This window comes from Homo sapiens, chromosome 10 (genome assembly GCF_000001405.40).
Source record: "Homo sapiens chromosome 10, GRCh38.p14 Primary Assembly".
In the NCBI taxonomy this organism is placed as follows: domain Eukaryota; kingdom Metazoa; phylum Chordata; class Mammalia; order Primates; family Hominidae; genus Homo; species Homo sapiens.
In genome coordinates, this window is record NC_000010.11 from 112642232 (window position 1) to 112665802 (window position 23571).

General features: G+C 38.4%; 1 protein-coding gene across 8 annotated transcripts in view; it reads left to right on the forward strand.

The window, feature by feature from the left end:
* VTI1A (vesicle transport through interaction with t-SNAREs 1A) overlaps positions 1 to 23571 on the forward strand; it is a 408381-nt gene that overhangs the window by 195244 nt on the left and 189566 nt on the right. The gene's annotated exons all lie outside the window — the stretch shown is intronic.

The following is a 23571-nucleotide window of genomic DNA, read 5'->3' on the forward strand; positions in this document are numbered from 1 at the left end:
AAATCCATGTGTTCTGTGATTATTAATAATAATGGCTTCAAATAAATTATTGACTGGTTGCAATGGAATGCACTTTCGAGCAGCTGAGGAACTCCGCACAAAATGTCTGAGTTGTATTCCTCTGATCCCCCCCTCTCCATCAGTTCTATGGGTTATCAGCCAACCCAAGCACAGTTGCTGACGGGTTAGTAAGAGAAAGATGGGACAGATGTGAAGGATTCATGGTTCAAAATTATAGTAACATTTAATAAAAATTTAAAAGCAGTTGCTGATTCTTCTGTTTTTGATTTATGAATTTGGGGGCTTAAAAAATGTTGTATTCATAGCATTCAGTATATCAGCACATATATACGTATACACTCATAGTATACAGGGTAGTGTGTGTGTGTGTGTGTGTATGTGCATGCTAAATGATTACCATTTGTGAGGCATTGTATGGAGGGAAATGAATGAGACTGATTCCCTGCTATGGGGAAGTTTGTTACAGTCTAATGGGGAGACAGGCATGACCCCAGTTAGTCATTCTTTAATAACTAGGCCGAGCATAGGGAGAAGACCAAAACACCAAGCCTTGGGGTCTGTGCCATAATAGTGGTACAGATAATGAATTGAGTCCAGAGGAGGGAAAAATGTTGCCAGCTAAGTTGATCATGAAAAACTTTTGGACATTGGTGACACTAGAACTGTATTTAAATGCATGTTCCCTGTGCATAATTATCTGAGCATGTTTTCTTTTTTTTCTTTTCTTTTTTTTTTTTTTTTTGTTTTTAAGACAGAGTCTCACTCTTGTCACCCCAGGCTGGAGTGCTGTAGCACAATCTAGGCTCACTGCAACCTCTGCCTCCCAGGTTCAAGCAATTCTCATGCCTCAGCCTCCCAGGTAGCTGGGATTACAGGCACCCGCCACCACACCTGGCTAATTTTTTTTTTTTCTTTTTTTTTTTTTGTAGAGACAGAGTTTCACCATGTGGCCAGGGTGGTCTTGAACTCCTGGCCTCAAGAAGTGATCTGCTGGTCTCAGCCTCCCAAAGTGCTGGGATTACAGGTGTGAGCCACAGTGTCGGGCCTCTCTGAGCATGTTTTCTATTTCAATTATATTAAATTTTGAGACATATAAGTCAGTGATCATTTATGATTATTGAATGTCCTGTGATTTCATAAGTAAATCTTTAAAATTTTAGCTTTACTCAAAATAATCCAAGACCATTTACTATGACTTAAATTATTCATAAAGCAAGGTGATTATTACTCTTGAGACCATTGTACAAAGCCCTGAAGTGTGTTACACATAGGCCAGAAACCTTTCTCCTTTGTTATATCTTATGAGTCTGTTAGGTTAAAAAAAAAATTATCCTTTTTTTGCTATTTCTGTTCTCAATACTTGAAAAATAGAATTTTGTGTGCCTCAATCTAAAAGGAGAATCATCGAGAGAATCTCATTCTGTACTGCATAAGCTACGAAAGACTTCAAAATTCCAGAGGAAAACAGACAAAAACTCTTTGCTTATTAATGTACACACCTCCATTTTCCTAAAGTTGCATAACTAGCCGAATTAGGAAAATGCTGTAAACATTGCATCACTGTTGACATTGAACATTGCATAGCTAGAAAGAAAGGCATATATGTAATTTTTTTCGTTTACTATTTCAATAGTCTGAGTCTCAGTGGCAAATGAAAATACAATTGAATCTCAAGTGAATGGCCAGAAACACCGTATATTTTATGAAATATGGCAGCATAATGAATAGGAGGTAAAAAAAAAAAAATGTCCTGGCTTTCAAGTCCTGATGGTTGTGATGTGATTGAATCATAGTGCATTCTGTTTGATGTCTCGGCTTTGCTATTCAGATGCACTGCAAAGTATGTGCATCACCCTCTCTGCAAAGTGCACCTGGCAACCCAGCACGGATGTAGTTTGTTTTCATTGCATCTGCAAGAAACATATATATTAGAGTAGAATTTAAGTAGGAGTATTTTAATTCTTCTAATTGTGATAGTTTCCCCACACAGAGAAAACTATCAATCAGGTACAAAAGAAACTGCTTAGGATTTGAAGGAATTTGACAATTTTGTTGTAGTTCCTAGCCTGGCAGGTGGTAATAATGCCTATGCCAGCACTGTCAAAATATGAAAATTAAAGTGACGATGGGTTTTAATGAAATCCATTTGACAAATATAATTAAGGTGTTTTAATATGAAGTCCTGTAATAAAGACTACCGGTGGACTCCCTGAGGTCCTGACTAATTGTGTAGATTGCTTTTAAGCTTTGAATAGTTTTATTGGATAATGAACTGTTAAGAAGTGTTAGATCTTTCTTAAGCAGAATTTGGTTTGAAAAAGAAGAGGAGAGACAGGCCTGAGGTGTGGCATTTTAAACATAATTAGAGGAGAGATTTAAGTTAACATCTTTGATCTTGCTGTCAGTTTTTGATTAGAGCTGTAAATGCTTTAATCAAGTGTAGTGTAGTCATTACATTTCTAACTGTTTTTTAAACTGCGAAATTACTGAGACATTGACATCAATTTTAACACATTCTGAAAATGTACAGCAGAATTGGGCTTCTCTACCTAGCGTTTGTATGAGAATATCAGATTATACTGATTTACCAACCTTAAGCAGAATGGCAAAATGACATTATGGTAAGGAATAGTTTAGTTTCAATCATAGTTAGACATAGTAACAAAATAGTACAATTATTTGATATTTATTGTGCTTTCTAGGAATGTGTTTGTAAGTTGAAAGCACTCATATGAACCTGTTCTATTAAAACGTATAGATGAGGAAGGAAGTAACCTCAAAGTTTTCTATCAAGTAGATTTTATAATGTTAACTGGTTTTAACATTCGTTTTTCAAAGAGCCATTGTAGCTCACTATAGTCATCCAATGTCATATTTGGTTTTGTATTCCCCTGCCTAGCGCATAGCAAGTACTCAGTGTGTGTTTGTGGAATTAATGTGGAATCTATTTATGATAGCTCAATATGTACCCAGCTTAAATTTTCCCCCAGAATTCAATAAGATCATAAGTGAAATGTAAGGAAAAGTACACTCCTCTTCCCCTTTGCCACCTATCTTAACCCAGTTACTCATTATGGGGTGTAAATGGGTATATATTTGGTATTTCTCACTAGTTTCAGGAAGCATCACTAAAATGATGAGTTAGACCAGTGCTGTGCAGGATTCTTCTTGGGGGAGAGCAGCTTCCCTAGCATGTCACCCATGATTGCAGAAGTGCTAGGGCTATATAAAGGAGCCATGCCCCAGGGCCATTCATTGAAGAAGGCGTCCACACTAATTACATGGTCTTGAACTTCCTGCTTGTGTATTTTGCGTTACGTAAGATATGAAATGAGGAGTGAAGAAGCCTAGGTTCTAATCCAAGCTCTGCTTGATATGCCATTTAGAAAAATCACTTCTCTCAGATGATCTAATCCAACTCCTGAGTGGAATAAATAACTTCTAAAACGCTCCTGATTCTAGAATTCTACTGATAAGTGTATATCTAGTGTTCTCTCTATAATAGTTTCTTTACCAACTTTACCCCTTTGCCTTTCTTGCTTTTAATGTTCTCCCCTTTTTACTTTTTTTGGTGCATTTCTACTTATTTCACTTGATCATTTATTTATTTATCCATCTATCCATCCATCCTAGAAGCATGTATTGTATGCCAGGCATTATATGGAAAAGAAAGAACACCAATATACTGTGTTTTTTTTTTTTTTTTGGTTACCTGATGCCAATGTAGTGCCAGGGATGGGGAGTGGGTAGACAGAATAGAATGCTATCTTCTTATCATCCATTTTTATTTATGTGCCATAGGGTGATAGATATATGTTTATAAGTAGAAGGAACTGGACTAGATGCCTTTCAACATTTTTTACCTACAAATTTTGCTAGAAATACAACCTATCTTGTAGGTTATCCAACTACCTATCCTATTGTTTTAAATATTTATCATATACCATTAGTTTCAGGTCAATATTATGTGCATTCTGAAAAAAACCAAAACAAAAACTTGGAAGTTAAAAAAATAAAATAAAACTAGGAAGCATTGTTTCCATAGGTTCTTACCTTTGTCTTCTAAGATTTGAAAAGAAATGTGAGGCACCCAGTAGATTATTAGACACAGGTTGTCAGTAACACTCAGATTATTATATCCAAAGATATCCACATCATTATGGGGCAGATGAGTATGAGTGTAGGAGCAAGAAGCCCAGGGTGGACATCAGGAAATGTGAATTGTGGGTGACCTGCAAGGGTGATGAGCAAATCTGTGAAGAGTACCATGTTCTTTTTTTTTTTTTTAAGATGGGAGTTTTGCTCTTCTTGCCCAAGCTGCAATCTTGGCTGACTGCAACCTCTGCCTCCCAGGTTCAAGCAATTCCTGTCTCAGCCTCCCGAGTAGCTGGGATTACAGGAGTGTGCCACCACGTCCAGCTAATTTTTTTGTATTTTTAGTAGAAACGGGGTTTCACCATGTTAGCCAGGCTGATCTCGAACTCGTGACCTCAGGTGATCCACCCGCCTCAGCCTCCCAAAGTGCTGGAATTACAGGTGTGAGCCACCGCGCCCGGCTACCATGTTCTTTTGTTAGTTGATACAACACCTTTGGCACATTCCTCAGTTTAGCACTTGTGCAATGTGCTGTACTTTATCCTGATGGTGGTTCCATTCATATCATTCTACTCCATCTAAGTGTAAGCTGCTAGATGTTGGGACCATGTTTTATTTTTATTTCTTTGCATGCCTGTTATGTAATTGACTCTCCGTAATATTTATTGGCTTGAATTATAATCCTACCTCTGACCTAAAATTTGCCCCCACAGGCAAGTTGTTTAACCTTTCTGGAAGAGTTCATTTTCATCAGGATTTCCAAGAAAAAAATGAGTGGAGAGCCCATGGGATAAATGAAAGTTACTTTAAAACTTTTTCTTTACTTCCATGGGCATGTGTAAACGGCTTAACTCTCTAGCCCACCCCACTCTGTCCTTATCCAAATTACATAAATATTTTCTAATGGGACCATGACGGTTTTCACTTTTGGAATAGCTGTTTAGCGCTTTGAGATTGTGATGAAAGACCTGTAGAGTGGGGAAGATTGTTCAGGTGCAATCTCTTCTGAATCCATAGATATAATCAGAGTCAGGCTCTGCTTATAAAATCATCAACACACTATTTCCCACTGTACTAGGTGTTCTTTTGAAGTCTCTCATACTAGGTTCTGACCTCATTTCTCAAGATGTATCCACATTTTCTAAATGGAAAATTTTGGCAAATAGAAGACAGCCCCAACATGCAAAATGTTTTTGAATGTTGCTTTCCGTTTAACACATAAGGACATCAATAAAGTCAACTATGATATGTGTGGACTATATTGTGTTAACTGGTGTTTCATTAAAGTTGTCAAGACTAAAAGTATGTTTTTCCGTAGTTTATGTATAGATTTGTTTATTATCAGTATAGAAAGGATTCCACATAGAAATTTTTTGTAAAATAATTATACTTTGTCTCTGCATTTTTTAAATTTATTTTTAATTTTATTTTTATTTTTTGAGACAAAGTTTCACTCCTGTTGTCCAGGCTGGAGTGCAGTGGCGCAATCTTGGCTCGCTGCAACCTTCGCCTCCCGGGCTCAGGTGATTCTCCTGCCTTAGCCTCCTAAGTAGCTGGGACTACAAGCACATGCCACCGCACCCAGCTAATTTTTCTATTTTTGGTAGAGACCAAGTTTTGCCATGTTGCCCAGGCTGGTCTCAAACTGCTGAGCTCAAGCAATCCGCCCGCCTCAGCCTCCCAAAGTGCTGGGATTACAGGCGTGAGCCATTGCACCCAGCCTGCATTGTTTTTAAAGAGAACATTGAGATCATCTATGTGGAAATTACACATCAGTTACACATCTGGATTGATTTGGTAGCTTTTTATGAAAAAGCTAAAAAGATTTTTCTCCTCTGTTGGACTCAGGGCTTAAGAGTAAAAATTTAAGAAGTCAGAAATCAGCTTAAACCTATCCATTCTCCTTCCATTTTGTTCTCTCTCTTGCTGTCACTAAGGAAAGTTAATGGTTTGTGCTGAAGTTTACCTCCATGAAACTAGAGAATGTTTGAAACTTGTCAGAAGATGCTATTTGTGATATTCAGTGGCAATCCTAGCCCATAGCATGCTTCTTTGTTACTGATGGCATCATTGTCAGATTTCTGAGAACAGTTCTGGTACCAAGCTCAGTGCACCAGACTCTAAAATGAGCATCAACCATGATAAATTAATTAAATCATCTTTAGGGTTAACCAACAATGAAGTTCATGAGAATATTATACATAGTTCAAAAAGAGGTTCATTTTTCCTATGGTACTAGAGAACCAAGAATAATTTTCAATTTATTCTGCCTTATTCTGTCTTACTCTGTAAAGATTTGTTGTTGTTATTCTTTTGGTAGGAGGCTTAGACATTCTTTCTACTCAGCAGTCTTTTTAAAATTTTTATTATTACCCTTTCAGTATTTTGAGCCTCTAACTTTGTAATACAGTTTTCAAAATACAGCATTTTGCTTTCAGACAGAAGTTTCATAGGAGATAAAAATTCCTAAATAGATTACCTGATCAACAATTTCTCAGCTTGAGTAAAATGTGTAGTGGGTTTGAGTTTGTCAGTGGGTAAAATATATATCTATTAAATAATTTCTTTACTCATCTATTAAGAGGTTTCTGGCTTTACCTGCTGTGTATTAACAAATATTTTATTTTTATTTAGATATTTGGGGTATTTTTTTTAAGGTTTCAGTCACTTTTCCTGTACCTGAAGTGGAGAATGGGATTTGCCAGTGATAAATGGGGAAGTTGACTAGCTAACTAATAAAGATTTGTCTTAATCAAGTATGATTTGTCAGAACAGGAGTGCACTGGGGTCAGGGCACGCACAATGAATTATACAGCATTCACAGGAGGGAAGGACCCGGCAAGAGACCTCATAAATATGCTGCCATTACCCACTGCTAATTCGTATTCAAAGAGTGCTCTGCACAGCCAGTTTCTAGGTTGCTGAGCTGTTCACCAGTTTCCTGAGCTTTCTGTTTATGTGAAAAAAGAAGTTTTTATTTTGTTTTGGTATCATCTGGATTCTCAAGGTGTATCAGTCTTAAAAACTGAATTGGTACCAATAATTTGAAGTGTGGCTTATCATATTACATCACAAATAATATCAATCTAGTGCCTACTATGGGCTCATGCATCATGCTGGACACAGTGTGGAGGAATCAGATATATAAGGCACAGTTTCTGCTAGAAGAGTTTTCTGATGCTTTCTTATGATTCTCTTCAAGTATTGTCTCTGTAAATTCAAGTATGGCTACAAGAGGAAAACCCATCTGCCTTTTTGTTAAATATAGTCATGCATTCCTTAATGATGGGGATGCATTCCGAGAAATGCATCCTTAGGCATTTCATCATTGTGCAAATACCATGGAGAGTACTTACACAAATCTAGATGGCAGAGGATCCAGCACACCTAATGTAATGGTCTAGCTTATTGCTCCTAGGCTGCAAACCTGTATAGTATGTTACTGTACTGAATACTATAGGCAATTGTAATACTATGGTAAGGACTTGTATATTTAAACAGTAAAAATATGATATAAGAGATAAAAAATGATCCACCTGGACGGGACACTCACCATGAATATGAATAGAGGTTAAAGGACCAGAAGTTGCTCTGGGTGAGTCAATGAGTGAGATTGTAAAGGGCGAGGATATCAGTGTACACTACTGTAGACTATATAAACACTGGACACTTTGACTACACTAAATTTATTTTTAAAATGTTTTTCTTTCTTCAACAATCAGTTAACCTTTGCTTGCTGTAACTGTTTTACTTTATAAGATTTTTAATTGTTTGATTCTTTCGTAATAACGCTTAGCTTAAAACACATTGTACAGCTGTACAAAAATATTTTCTTTCTTCATATCCTCATTCTATGAACTTCTATTTTTAATTTTTTTTCCTTTTGTTCTTTTTAAACTTTTTTTGTTAAAAACTAAGACACAAACACATACATTAACCTAAGCCTACACATGGTCAGGATCATCAGTATCACTGTCTTCTACCCGCACAACTTGTCCCACTGGAAGATCTGCAGGGCCAATAACATGCATGGAGCTGTCATCTCCTATGATAACAATGCCTTCTTCTGGAATACCTCCTGAAGGACCTGCCTGAGGCTGTTCTACTCTTCACATTTTTTTTTAAATAAGTGGAAGGAGTACACTCAAAAATAATGATAAAAGCTATAGTATAGTAAATTCAAAAACCAATAACATAGTTGTTTATTGTTATCCAGCATTATGTACTGTGCATAATTGTATATGCTATACTTTTGTATGACTCGCAGTGCAGTAAGTTTGTTTACACCAGCATCACCACAAACACACGAGTAATGCATTGTGCTACGATGTTCGACAGCTACCATGTCACTAGGGATAGGAATTTTCAGCGCTATTATAATCTTTTGGGGCCACTGTCCTATACGTAGTCCCTCGTTGACCAAAACATTGTTATGCAATGCATGACTGTATGTCCTCTCAGTGAAGAATTTTCAAATTAAAAGTACTGTTACTATTTCCTGCAGTTTGACATACATTAAATACATAGAAGATATTTTCTCATGTTTCTGCTAAGCTTGACTTTCTAACCTATGATTCATACTATTCTCATCTGTTTATATGACTGATTGCTTTGATAAGTTACATAAGTTATTTTTCACAGTCTTTATTTTATAAATTACTTCTTTGATTTGAAGAGGTTATTGTTTCTTCTCTTCCTGTTGAGCAATTATAAGTAATGCTGTGTGGCTTAACCAACATTTAAGGCCACCTAATCTGTTATATCCAGCTACTGTTGGGATGATGTCCTTCTTGGCCCTAGAAAGTCAGCAAGGGGAGCATTCCTGTCTTCAGCACTTCCTTCATGCTTAAGTGACCTATTAGATGGTTTTTACATGATATTTTAAATATGACAAAATAGTTTATAATATCTCAATGTCTTAATTGGTAGAAAAATATTGCCATCATCTCTCTTAGTGGAATAGCCCCTCTTTTATTTTTTGAGATGGAGTTTCACTGTTGTTGCCCAGGCTGGAGTGCAGTGGTGCGATCTCCGCTTACCACAACCTCCACCTCCCAGTTTCAAGTGATTTCCCTGCCTCAGCCTCCTGAATAGCTGGGATTACAGGCATGCACCACCACACCCAGCTAATTTTTGTATTTTTGGTAGAGACGGGGTTTCACCATGGTGGCCAGGATGGTCTCGATCTCTTGACCTTGTGATCCGCCTGCCTCAGCCTCCCAAAGTGCTGGGATTACAGGCGTAAGCCACCGTGCCTGGCCTGGAATAGCCCTTCTAGTAGTTGATGATCCCAGTCTTTTTTAGCTGAAACTGATGTCCACATTAAAATAACAATAATAGTAATAATAATTATTTTTTAGAACTGTGAGTATACACTTTCGGTGTGTCAGGGAGGAAATGAATGGACTTTGAATACCAGGTTACCTTCTTACTTCTAAGGATAGTTCCTCCAGGAAATAAAAGGTTGAAATAGAGAGATGGGAAAGTCCACTTCATCCAAGTCTGTTTTATCAAAGGAAAAGTTTTAGCCAAAAGGCTACTACTTGGTATATTTCTGCAAACTTCCGCAGAACGTTAGCCTCAGCCAGAAATAGAAAGGAGCACAGTCCTCTGATTGATCTCTTACCACTTAGAAATTGTCATGACTCCTAACAGGATGTTTAGAGTTGAGTGTGGTAGAATATTTGGAATTCTATAGTGATGGAGATTTCTTTCCTTCAGGTGAAAAAAGAAAAAAACAGGCAAACAAAAAACAACTCTTTGAATCAAAGACAATGTAAAGGGATGGAAGTATGGTTGCAGCAGTGCTTAGTTAGAACAATGTCTAAACTTTAGCGTAGACAAGCCCTGAGTGAAATCAAAGCCTCCCACTGCCATAACACCATGAAGATTTTCACAAGGGGACGCAGATAAATGGATGGTGAAAACAGACTAGAGCGGTACACTTCAGTCCTCAGAAATGAGTGTCCTTCACATTGGCTGTCACCGACTGTCTCAGTGAGTATGCAGTTGCTGTGTGTCTCACAAAAAACAAAATGCACAAAATCCTGGAAAGGGAATTGAGGACTCTGAGGGCAGAACAAAGAGTTAGAGCCAGTTGCAGGGGCTCACGCCTGTAATCCCAGCCCTTTGGGAGGCCGAGGCAGAAAGGTTGCTTGAGCCCAGGAGTTTGAGACCAGCCTGGGCAACATGACAAAACCCCATCTCTACAAAACATTGTTTTAAAAAAAGTAGCCAGACATGGTGGCATTCACTTGTGGTCCCAGCTACTGAGGAGGCTGAGGTGGGATGATCACTTGGGCCCAAGAGGTCAAGGCTGCAGTGAGCCGTGTTCATGCCAGTGCACTCTAGCCTGGGCAACAGAGTGAGACCTTGTCTCAAAAAAAAAAAAATGGAAAGAAGGAAGGAAGGGAGGAAGGGAAAGGAAGGAAAGTAAGGAGAAATATAGGCCCACTGGGCCTAGGAGGCAGACCATGATGTGTCTGTTGGGCCCTAAAAGACTCACCTTGCTTTTCTTTCGTTGAAGTAGTGTTACTGGTGGAGGGTGTCCAGGTTCTTGGCATCTTGAACAAAGAATTGGACAAAATGCATACACAAAACAAGGAAAGATTTAGGCAACAAAAGCAGAGATTTGTTGAAAATGAAAGTACACTCCACAGGTTGGGGGCGACCTGAGCATAGGGGCTCAAGAGCCCCATTACAGAATTTTCTGGGGTTTAAATACCCTCTAGAGGTTTCCATTTGTTACTTGGTGTACGCCCTCTGTAAATGAAGAGGATGAAGTCATGTTACGAAGTCATTTACTCAGTGTACACCCTATGTAAATGGAGAGGATATTTTCTGTCCTAGCTGAAGTGTTTCCATTTGATTTGGTTCTAGGAAGTCAGCGAGAATCAGCCTTATGTTCCCTGCCTCCAGACCCTATTCTCCTGCCTCATTAAGAGGGAATTTTTTTCATTTTGCTTTGTATTCCTGTCCTTTTATTTGATTGATGACATCCAAAGAGTCATATAATGTCTAGCTTCCTTCTTTGGTGTGTGTTTGTGCGAAGTATAGGTCCAAATTGCGCAACCAGAATGCCCATGACGTCGGCCACCTGTGTGCTGGGGAAGGCACAGTGCACAACAGTGGCCATGTAATCAGCTTAGGGATCAATCTGGCCTGGGTCTTGAATACTGGCCAACCTTGGGCAAATTACTTAACTTCTCTGAGCCTCAGATTCCTTGTCTTGAAATGGGATTAATAATAATCGACTTCATGTGGTGGTTGTGAAGATTAAATACGGTATCCATTAAGTGCTTAGCACAGTGGCTAGTATAAAATGAAGCAGTCAATAAATAGTAGCCCAAAATAAAAACCTTTCCCTGGAGGGGAGCATTCATTGCAGTATTTTATACACAGCCTGTAAGCAATAAACTTTTGTTGGATATATACTGAATGTATGCAGTCATTTTTTTGTCCCCCAGGGTTTCAACCTACGTGCTTGTTTCCCCCCCAAAATAAGTCCCATCCCAACTTGTTAATACTCTTAGGTGGAAGTTTGGTAAAAGACTCAGTTTTAGTGGTTCCCTAGTAAAGTCTATTCAGATATAATTAAAAATTCTTCTTACAATTATGCTAATAAGTTCAATATACAGCCTGGCTGATGAAGTCTAATAAATTCCCTATTGTACTTAGAAACAATGGTAGCTTTGTTGTATTCTGTATTTTAGAAACTCCCGATGTCATAGTGCTTGCTAAGAAAAGCAAACAATAATAAACTTTTTTGTTGTTAGGAGTTTTACTAAAAGAAGTCTGTAAGTGCGTATTTGGTTATGTACTCTCCTTCTAGGGTCACGCTAATACTTCAGTTTATAAAATGAATAATTTTTTAGTGTGCTTCATCTGACATTGACCAGCAGTTGCCATCTAATAAGCAAGATTATCAAAATCCACATTTACTTAGCCTTTTCTTTAATGTCATAAGGATAGCATAAATATTAGGAAACCTTATCTCCTTTTATTTTTTTACAGGACAATAATTTGAGCTCAGTTTAGATCTTTTACCACGCATACATCTCAAATTTAGAAATAATATTAAGATCGTATCACCTTAAAACTCTTTCAGAATATGCCCCACAGTCATCCATTCTTTTTCTTTTTATTTATTTATTTATTTATTTTTTGAGACCGAGTCTAACTGTCACCGAGGCTGGAGTGCATTGGCACAGTCTCGACTCACTGCAAGCTCCACCTCCTGGGTTCACGCCATTCTCCTGCCTCAGCCTCCCGAGTAGCTGGGACTACAGGCACCCACCACCACACCCGGCTAATTTTTTTGTATTTTTAGTAGAGACGGGGTTTCACCGTGGGCTCGATCTCCTGACCTGGTGATCCTCCTGCCTCGGCCTCCCAAAGTACTGGGATTACAGGCGTGAGCCACCGCGCCCGGCCCCATTCTTTTTATACTTTTCTCCATTTGTTCACTAGTTCCCTTGTCTTGAGTTTTGTTAGTTTCCACCTCTCAAAATGTCACTGTCTAAAAATGCAAGTGTCTTCTACATTAAAGTTTTTGTCTGCCTCATGATATAGCATAAATTCTCCCACTTCCTCTGTAGATTGCTCTGGCTTACACGTGTGTGTGAATAAAACTTTATTTACAAAAACAGGCCACAGGCTGGATTTGGCTAAACTGCCCTAGATTGCCAACCCTTACAGTAAAACAGTGGTTCTCAAAACATAGTCTTAGGGAACCAGCATCACCAGCAGCATCTGGATACTTGATAGAAATGCAACTTCTTGTCCCTCCACCCCCCATACACACCCGTACTGAATTAGAAATTGTGGATTCACGGCCCAGCAATCTGTGTTTTAACAATCTGGCCCTTTCATTTATCAATTGATTTATTCATTATCCACTTCCACAGAAAAGATTTGAAGTATCTTACTATAGATGATCAAGTAGGTATATCAAGAGCAGAAAAAATTAACCCAGAACAAAGGATAGAAACCAAGGAGTAAAGAGAAGGTGTGTGTATATGTGGTGGGGTGGGGCAGGGGTAGCAGGGCTCCATGAAGACCTAGAGAAATGCTTTAACAATCAAGGATTAAACTCACCCAGGGCTTCCTAGGATTCAGACCAAACAAACATGTTGGATTGCATAGCTTGCCTCAATTACTAGTACAAAATGAATTCTGCCTTGTACTGTCAAAAAAAAAAAAGTGTTTTTTATTAGGAAGGGGAGGAAGTGTGTTGGTGGTCTTTGAATAAGACAAGCTAAGAAACGTGATGAATCCTATTCTTGAAATCAGCCTGACTACAACTGTATAGATGTATTCCTTGTTTCATAATTTAAGTAAATCTTATGAGTACCAAAGGCCCAGAGCTAAAGGGGTAAAGATCTGTCCCAGGGCCAGGTATTTTGGACTACAGAATGTTGAAGAATGAAGGCCAGTGGCCCATAAGAAGGAGTTTGACATGACTGACAGACATTTTTTAAAGTGTGCCTATCTGTGCCCCATATCTAGGCAATTAGTCAGCCTACAATAAGGGCTACACAACAGTGTTTATTAAAAGCTTCCTAGATGATTCTAGTGCACACTAGCAAATGAGAATCTTTGCCAGAGTCTGTGACCTTCAAATTTCAGTCCTCTCACTCAGGCCTTTAAAGCAAATACATGCAGAAAATCTGAGAATGAGAGCACTAGCTGGAAGCTGAAAAGTGAAGAACTCAAAAAATTACCATTTGTCAAGTTTCTGTTGTCAATTGAGAAAAGGTCCCGGTGCCATAGGTCCAGGATAGCAAGTGGGTCTTATCCCCTGTGCCAACCCGAGTTGACTGCCTGGGGTGTTTCGAGGAGAGGGTTTGTTGCAAGGTGTGTTCAGGGCACTGTGATTGATTGACAATACCTGCCAGCTGTTTGGTGTTTAGGAGCTGTGGCATGTATGGCATGTGTTTGTTGACCTTATTCTCAGGGTTAGATAAATGAATAGAAGAAATAACATTTTGTTGAAAAATTCAATAAACTGACTTATCTCTTTGAATTTTTCTTCCCAAACCTTTTTTTTTTTTTTTTTTTTAAACAGGGTCTTTCTCTGTCACCCAGGCTGGCCTAGAACCCTTGGGCTCAAGCAATCCTCTGGCCTCAGCCTTCTGAGTAACTGGGAATACAGGAGCATACCACACCCAGATAATTTTTTTTTTTTTTTTTTTTTTTGAGACAGGGTTTCCCTGCATTGCATTGCCCAGGCTCATCTCAAACTCCTGGGCTCAAGTGATCCTTGATCTGCCTCGGCCTCCCAAAGTGCTGAGATTATAGGCATGAGCCACCACACCCAGCCTACAAACTTTATTTCTTGAATTTTAAGCCACCTTTATGTCAGTCTTCTCACTTTCTCAATTTTCCCTTCTCATGATTTCCTGCGGGATATTTCTTAAAACTTGATCATCCTTGATATGGTTTGGATCTTTGTCCCCACAAAATCTTATGTCCAAATTTTAATCCTCCGAGTTGGAGGTGGGCCCTGGTGGGAGGTGATTGGATGATGGAGGTGGTTTCTCATGGTTTAGTGCCATCCCCTCAATGCCATTCTCATGATAGCGAGGGAGTTAGTTATCGCGACATCAGGTTGTTTAAAAGTGGGTAGCACCTTCCCCTCACTCTCTTGGTCCTGCTCCTGCCCTGTAAGCCATGCCCGCCCACCCTTCGCTTTCCGTCATGACTGAAAGCTCCCTGAGGCCTCCCTGGAAGAAGAAGCCACTATGCTTCCTGTTCAGCCTGCAGAACTGTGAGACAGTTAAACCCCTTTTCTGTCTCAGGGGTTTACTTTATAGGAATGTGAGAACAAACTAATACAATCCTTTAGGTAAAAACTTTGTGTTTCTTTCAGCTCAAATATAGCAGCATGTATGTGTAAGGCCTGTTCTCTTCCTGTATCCATTGTCCTATATTTTTCAGGCTTAATAACTTTACTTTTTCCATTTATTCAGTATATCTATACTTTCTTCTCCTATTTTAACCCAGGTATCTTCTTTCTTTCTGTGTGCTCAGAAGAGTCAAGATATATAAAAATACTATATAAAACATAACATTTTAAATTTATGAGTCAGTGTAAACATTTGTCCAGGCTTTGAGTTGGGGTACAAATTAGATTTTTTTTAATATAAGAGGTATAAGAAGGCAGTAACTTCTTCCAGATGAGTTCTAAATATTTTGTATGAATCAAAAATTACTCCTTGCCATCCCCTACCTCACACATATATAATATACAAAAATTAAATCAAAATGGATCGAAGACCCAAGTCTAAGAACTAAAACTATAAAACTCTTAGAAGAAAATACAGGGACAAATCTTCATTGGCATGAAGTTGGCAATGGATACTTAGGTATGACACCAAAGCACAAAGCAACAGAAGAAGAAAACAGATTAGACTTTATGAAAGTTAAAAACTTTTATATATCAAAGAACACTATATTGTGTGTGTGTGTGTGTTTGTGTGTGTATATATATGCCTTAAAACAGAACAACAAAAAGATGTGTAGTATTAGGATGCCTTGTCCTCCACATTGTAATGCATGTTTGTTTTCTTTTTAATTCGTTTTTGTTGTTGTTAATGCAAAGATCAAAGGCCTAGGAGTTGGGAGACTTAGGATCATGGTTGCAGCTCTGTGGGTAATGAGCAACATGATCTGGGTGATCTTGGAGATCTCCACCTCCCAACTTCCTGCATTCTAGTTTGCTCATTTGTTCTATTACTTTATTTATTTATTTTTCCCAGAGACAGGGTCTCACTCTGTCACCCAGGCTGGAGTGCAGTGGCACAGTCATAGCTCACTGCAGCCTCAATCTCCTAACCTCAAGTGATCTTCCCGCCTTAGCCTCCCAAGAAGCTGATACCACAGGCATGCCCCACCACGCCCAGCTAATTTTTACTTTTTTAAGAGATGGTGATCTCACTATGTTGCTCAGGATGGTCTCAAACTCCTGGCCTCAAGTGATCCTCCCAGCTGAGCCTCCCAAAGCACCGGTATTACAAGCATGAGCTACCACACCCAGCTCATTTGTGCCATTACTTTTACAGCCCACATTTGTTCTAAAAATCTTTGATTCTATTGTTACAAATTTATAAAGGACTTGACCATATTTTTAAGTTGAATGGTTCCAGTGAACAAAAATTTCCTGAGCACCTGCATATGTCCTGTACTGCCTCTTAAAATGCGGCATATACTGAGAGGAATGAGACATGGCCTCATCTTTAAAGTCATTTACAGTCTATTAGAGAAGAATATATAAGCAAAGAGTCACAAACATCTAATCCTACGGCAGCCAAGCAGGGAACAGAAATGAGTGAAACAGGCCAGTGGGGAGGTGGCAAACTGGATAGTACCTGGCTGTTCTAAAGAAAGAAGCTATAACTCAGTTCCAGCCTGTGTTTACCAAGTGGGAATGGGGACTCACTGTTGCCAGATATTCCAAATTTCAAAAGAAACTAGAAGTTTATCATTTTATATGAAACCTCCTGTTTAAACAAATTTTTCCTGTGATTGCCAACTGGTTCAAAAATGCTTAGAATAGTCTTTCATAAAAGCAAAAGATGTTTGCTAGCCACGTAAGTCCTGTGGTCCACCCAATAGTGACTTCTCAAACATGTAATTAAAATGCTATACATTTAGTGATAGCAATGTGTGCAGAGTTCACAAAGAGTACAAATAGTGATTAACTCGGCTCAGAATGATTTCTAAGAAGCCTTTCTAATTACTTTCTAATCACCTCTCAATTCTTTAAGCACTTTTTGTTTTTTTAGAATGAGTAATTCATTCACCCTGGAGAGCTGGATGACGCTGAACACGTCTCCCTTGTCTGTTAAGTAAATACGTGTTTGGTAAATTCCACAAGTGAGCCTTTGGAATGTGTTTTGACAGTTTTGCCCATTCAGGTTTTCTGCTGCTTCATCTCCTGGCTTTTTACAGGCTTTATTGAATTGTGAAAAAGGGATGTCCTTCCTGCTGCTCAAGTCTCATTTTATAGGATAGAATGGATTCATTCTCATTTTTGAATGGAGCTGTAATTAACATGGTTCCTTTTGTTTAACAACCTCAATTTACATAGTACCTGCTCATTCCAGAGCATCGTTACTGGTAGCACAGCTTCATTGACTGATGTCTGAGGGCTCTGGGAATAGTGTTTGTTAATTATCTGCAGCAAACCAGGTAACTAAGGGGAGGTTCTGCTACTATGACTTTGATGAAAGTAGCACTGATGATTTTTTTAATTGCTTAATGATAGATTTGATCATCTTAAAGCAAAATAGAATACATACTCAGCTACTGAGAAGGTAGTGTTAAAACATAATTGCTTAAACACAAACATACACGCACGCAGACACACACACACACACGCGCACGCGCGTGCATAGGCCCTGCATGGTCTTTAGCTATATTTCTTTAAGAATATGTTAAGTTTACCTTCAGTTGAGATGAATGTATAATTTTTTAAAATAATGTCATCAAGTGCCTGTAAATATTTTATGGTACATAGTAAATGCTAATGTCCTCAGAGGCCAAGGAGGCTACTGTATGAAGCAGTCTAATGTTGGGGACTTAGGCAAAATGGAAACAATATGATCTGCTTAAAAGCATTTAAATTTCTATTGTTTTGGGTTTTTTAAAACGTTATTCTGGGGGCAGGATGGGAATACATCTGTGGGCCTTATTTGGCCCCGTGCTCTAGTTTTCTTATATGCTCTCTGGAGTCACTGAATTCTAATTTGTTGTTGTTGTTGTTGTTTTTGAGACAGAGTCTCGCTCTGTCACCCAGGTTGGAGTGCGGTGGCATGATCTCGGCACACTGCAACCTCTGCCTCCCAGGTTCAAGCGATTCTCCTGCCTCAGCCTCCTGAGTAGCTGGAACTACAGGCGCACGCCACCATGCCCAGCTAATTTTTGTGTTTCTAGTAGAGAGGGGTTTCACCCTGTTGGCCAGGATGATCTCGATCTCTTGACCTTGTGATCCGCCCTCCTCGGCCTCCCAAAGTGCTGGGATTACAGGCGTGAGCCACCATGCCCGGCCCAAGTTCTAATATTTTAAAGCCAAGTGGCACTAAAGATCATCTAGTCTAAGAGTCTCATTTTACATTTAAGGAAACTGAGGCCCAGAGAAAGGGAATGTTTTACCTAAATTAAACCCCAAGTGAATACTTCTTGATTTCTTTCAGTTTGCCTTAAAGACAAAGGAATTTGGAGATCATTTTAGAGTTGGTTGTATTTCTGCATTCTCCAATACAGTGACCGCTAACCACATGTAGGTACTGAGCACTTGAAATGTGGATAGTGCTACTGAGGAACTAAAGTCTTATTTTATTTTATTAATTGAAATTTAAATAGCCCCATGTGGCTAGTGGGTACTGTGTAATATTGCAGAAAGAAACTCAGAAATTAAGGTTTTTATCCCTAATTTGTTACAGCCTACCTTAAATAAATATGCTACTTTACATAAAACTCAAGAGCCAGTCAACAGAATACTTCTGTTTACCTCCTCTTCATCTTTTGTGCTAGTTTTCATACATTTCACTTCTGCATGTTATCACTATTTTTATTTTAAACGGTTACTTTGAAAGAATATAAGAGAAAAAGAAATGTTTTTATTTTTATTTACTTATTTATTTATTTTTGAGACAGGGTCTCAGTCTGTCACCCAGGCCGGAGTGCAGTGGCATGATCTTGCCTCACTGCAACCTCCGCCTCCTGGGTTCAAGTGATTCTCCCACCTCAGCCTCCCAAGTAGCTGGGACTACAGGCATGTGCCACCACACACGGCTAAGTTTTTGTACTTTTTGCTAGAGATGGGGTTTCACCAAGTTGGCCAGGTTGGTCTCGAACTTCTGACCTCAAGTGATCCGCCCTCCTCGGCCTCCTAAAGTGCTGAGATTATAGGCACATACCATCACCTGGCTAATTTTTGTATTTTTAGTAGAGACAGGGTTTTGCCATGTTGGCCAGGCTGATCCAGAACTCCTGTCCTCAAGTGATTCACCCACCTCAACCTCCCAAAGTGCTGAGATTACAGGCATGAGCCACGCACCTGGCCTGCTTTTATACTTATCCACAGATTTACCATTTCTGATGTTCATCATTCTTTCTTGTACATTCAGGTTTCCATCTAGTGTCATTTGCCTTCAGCCTGAATTATTTCCCTTAACATTACCTGCAGCTTAGTTCTGCTGGGTAATATTTTTTGGTTATCAAAGAGTATTTTTATTTCATCTTAATTTTTGAAGGCTATTATTGCTGGACGTGGAATAATAGAATGACCTTTTATTTTTTCTTTTAGCACCTTGGAAAGTTGTTCCATTGTGTGTTTGTATTGTTTCTGATGAAAATTCAGGCTTCATTCTTATTATTGTTCTCCTGAATGTATCTTTTTTTTCTGCTGTTAAGTTTTTTTTTTTTTTTTTTTTTGAGAGGAAGTCTAGCTCTGTCACCCAGGCTGGAGTGCAGTGGCACAATCTCGACTCACTGCAACCACCACCTCGCAGGTTCAAGTAATTCTCCTGCCTCAGTCTCCTGAGTAGAGTAGCTGGGACTACAGCACCCACTACCACACCCAGCTAATTTTTGCATTTTTAGTAGATACAGTGTTTCGCCATGTTGACCAGGCTGGTCTTGAACTCCTGACCTCAGGTGATCCACCTGCCTTGGCCTCCCAAACTGCTGGGATTACAGGCATGAGCCACTGCACCCAGCCAAGATTTTAAATTTATCTTTAGTTTTCAGAAATTGGACTGTGACATGACTAGGTGTGGTTTTTATTTATTTCTCTTGCTCAGAGGTTGTTAAACTTCTTTGATCTGTGGATCGGCTTTTTACAAAAATACAGATTGGAAAAGTTTGACTGTTAGTTCTTCAGATATTTATTCATACCGTTTTTTTGTCTCTAATAATCTCTTTTTCTGGGAGTCTAATAACATGTATGTAAGACCACTTGTTATAACCTCACAAGTTATTGATGCTATGTTCATTTTTTTAACTTTTTTTCCTCCTTCAGTTTGGATAATTTCTATTAACTATGTTCATGTTCAGTGATCCTTTATTCTATAGCGAAGGATATTCTATGTGGTATACCTAGTGAATTAATTTCAAATGTTATATTTTTATTCTACAATTTTATTTGGTTTCTTTTTAGAATTTCCATTTGTTTCTTGATAAACTCGTATTTTCACCGATTATGTTTACCTTTTCCTATAAATTCTTTAACACAATTATAATAGTTCTAAAATCTTTATGTGCTAACTGTAGTGACTAGGATCTATTGGGATACTCATATAGACTGTATTGTCTCTTGATTATTCTTTTTTCCTGTTTTTTTGCATGTCACAATTTTATAGTATTCCACACACTGTATAAAAAAGAACAAGGGAATCTGAAATATAACATCCTGGGTTTGTTTTTTTCCGAAAACATTTGACACTGTCTTGTATTTAGATAATAGAAGGAGCCGATTCTCCCAAAAGTTGAGTTGGTGCTGAGCTGAAGCTGTAATAAGATTGGATTCATCCGTGATTAGTGCACTCCCAACCTGTGTTTATGCTTCTTCTTACAAACAAACAAACAAACAAACAAACAAAACATATTGTCAATGTTTGAGCTGGAGTTGGTTGATCTGCAGTTGCAGATATTTTTGGGTTCACCTTTAGACTCAACTCTGACGGCGTCTTAAAATATAAGCACACAAGAATGTGTGGGAATATGTGATTTCTCTTTACTGACGAGCTCCTTCTTTATTCCCTCTTATTTGGCAAATTTGAAGATTTGGGGAGAAATATCAGACCAAGCAATTTGTTTTTGTGTTTAGAGTTCATCTAGATTCCGTTCTGTTTTGTAAGCCTACATCATCATTTAATGTTTGACTGATTTCTCTCATCCCTATAAATCCTATCTATGGCAGGCTCATTCTCAGAGCAGGTACTTGCCCTATATCGAAGTTGGTATCAAAGTTGCCACAACTGTTTGCTCCTACACAAAGTACTTGTTTCTCTCTAGAATTCATCAGAGCTTCTTTGCATCTACTTACTTCCTCCAGAAAAGTTTAGTAATTATTTTGTCTGGGTTTTTCTTGTTTCCATGGGAATGGTAATTTGCATCTTTCTGTGGCATCTTTCTACATCGTAACTGGAAGCAGAAGTTCCTCACATGTCTTAGGTTGTCAAATAATGAAAGATGTTGAAAGAACTCTCTTTTCCATTGTGATATTTTTCCAGATATCAGAAATTCAAAAGGCTCTTCATGCCTGAGTAACATCAATACAGAGGATAACCTAGCTATTCAGGGCATGATAGCTGAGTCAGTGCCCAGGAAGCTATGCTAAATGCCAAAGAGTGACTGACCCAACCACTCCATGATCAGATCCCTCCTGAGAAAGCTGTGTGTCAATCCCTCTGCTTCCTGAAGCAGCACGTTTTCTACCTTCATTAGACTCCGTGGCCAGAAGTTCCCAAGTCATGTCCAAAATTCAGTGCTCCAAATTGTTAGGAAATATTACTTCAAGGTTTTTCATCTGGTTGGTGTTCTGCAATACATATATGAAAACACACGCTTCAGCATAGCTCTTTTGCAGAACTCCTGCACTTCACAAAAGTCCTTATATGCAAACAATAGTTGTGTAACTGTGAATGTCTTTTATCTGCTACTAAAATTGTTGGTGAAGTTTTCAAGTACCAGAAGATAACCTTACCTTCTCTTAGTTCTTTAAAGACCCAACTTGCTGTTTTCACTTTTTAAAATAATTCGCTGGATACCACATTCTTAACAAAGTTTATGAAAAGAAAAATAAATATAGGTGTGCTGAGGAATAATCACTGTCTTCTGGAGAGTGTCCTGCATATTCCAAATGACTAATTTTTAAAAATGTTTTGAATGTATCAAATGGGACATTTCCTGGTGAATTAGATTTGAGGCTCGTTCCCTTTCAGCCAGTTTATAACATGATGTGAGCTTCAGTCAGTCCTAACTTCTTATAGAGAATATTTTGATCTGCTCACCTCCGAAATACAGGTCTTATAAATTTTTTTTAAAAAAAAGAGTTCATGTTAGTCCTATGTTAGACTTATACTGTTGTTCAGATGGTATTATTATTTTATGAGTGGAGAGACATGATGCTTTCAGTGATATAAGCTCTTCAAACTAAATCTTATTTTCATGATGTCAGGCCAGTCCTTTAGGAAGTATCTTGCTAGATTTGAAGTTACCTGATTCTTTCTCAATTTCTTTATGAGGCAGGAAAGTATTCAATGGCTATTGTGTATATCTTCCAAAAGATTGAAAAGTAAAGGAAATGTTAGCCAAAAACCCTTTTGCACGTGTGTTTCTCTATAAAAAGGGGCTATGGATCAAGGATATGATTGATTCTGGGTAACTGTAAAAATGAAAATTCATTTTATGTGTTTGAGAGCTCTACTCCCAGGATGATTCCCAGGACCACTGTGGAAAGGAGAGAAGTAGAGGAAGGAGCTCTTCCTTCCAGGAATTCGTTTATCATGCTCATACTGACATAGAGAATTCCAGCATACACCATCAGTTTTCATTGCCTTGTTATGCTTCCCATTGTTTCTTAATCTCAAGAAGACCCTCGCAGTCAACAAGTATAATATTTATAAAATTTATGATTTCTCAAATTATTTCAAGAGCAGCAGTATGGCTGTTCCATTCTTAAGGCCCTATGGAAGTTAAAGAACTGAAAATTTAAATATCACATCTGCCATTGGCTTAGGCCTCTGAGCTTGTGTTCTTTCTATTATGGTGTTTTTGGTGAATGCTTACATCTTCAGTTAAATTATTCAAGAAAAATAAACCTAACGATGTTTCTAATTATTTAATGAAATAATCGCTAAACCCAAGATAGTCTATATTTAAAAAATCCCCTCTAATTTGTTGTCTTGTTTTGTTTTGGTTCAACTAGAAGAGTGGGCCCCACAGTGGGGGAAAAAAAAAAAAAGCCCACATAAGTTTATTCACATGAATTTTTTTTCATTCCGTAATAGTAATCATTGTGATATATTTGGCCTGAAATTTTCTATATTAGAGCATTAAAATGGAAGATAGCAAGTTAGAAATGAAAAAAGAATTGTGTTTCCAACAGTGCATGACATTTGGGTGTTACGACCGGGATGCATACGCTCTTGCCAATATCTCTTCTCTTGCTAGATGGAGTTAGTACTTGGGATGCTGAGCTATGTCTAGGGAGGCAAGGAGATTGTGGGAGTGGTTTATAACTCCTGAAAAGACCCAAATCTTTACTTCCTGTTTGTTGATTCCTTCAGTAGCAGACTGTAGGTCCACTCAGAGTAGAGTTTTCCCCTCGGCGAACCTGATAGAAGGATGAATCTATTACCTGCTTTCTGATGTTGACTTCTCCAATGCTACACTGGATGGGCTTTAAGAGCAAGAATAGGTCGCAAACTTTATGCATACTTTATTTAA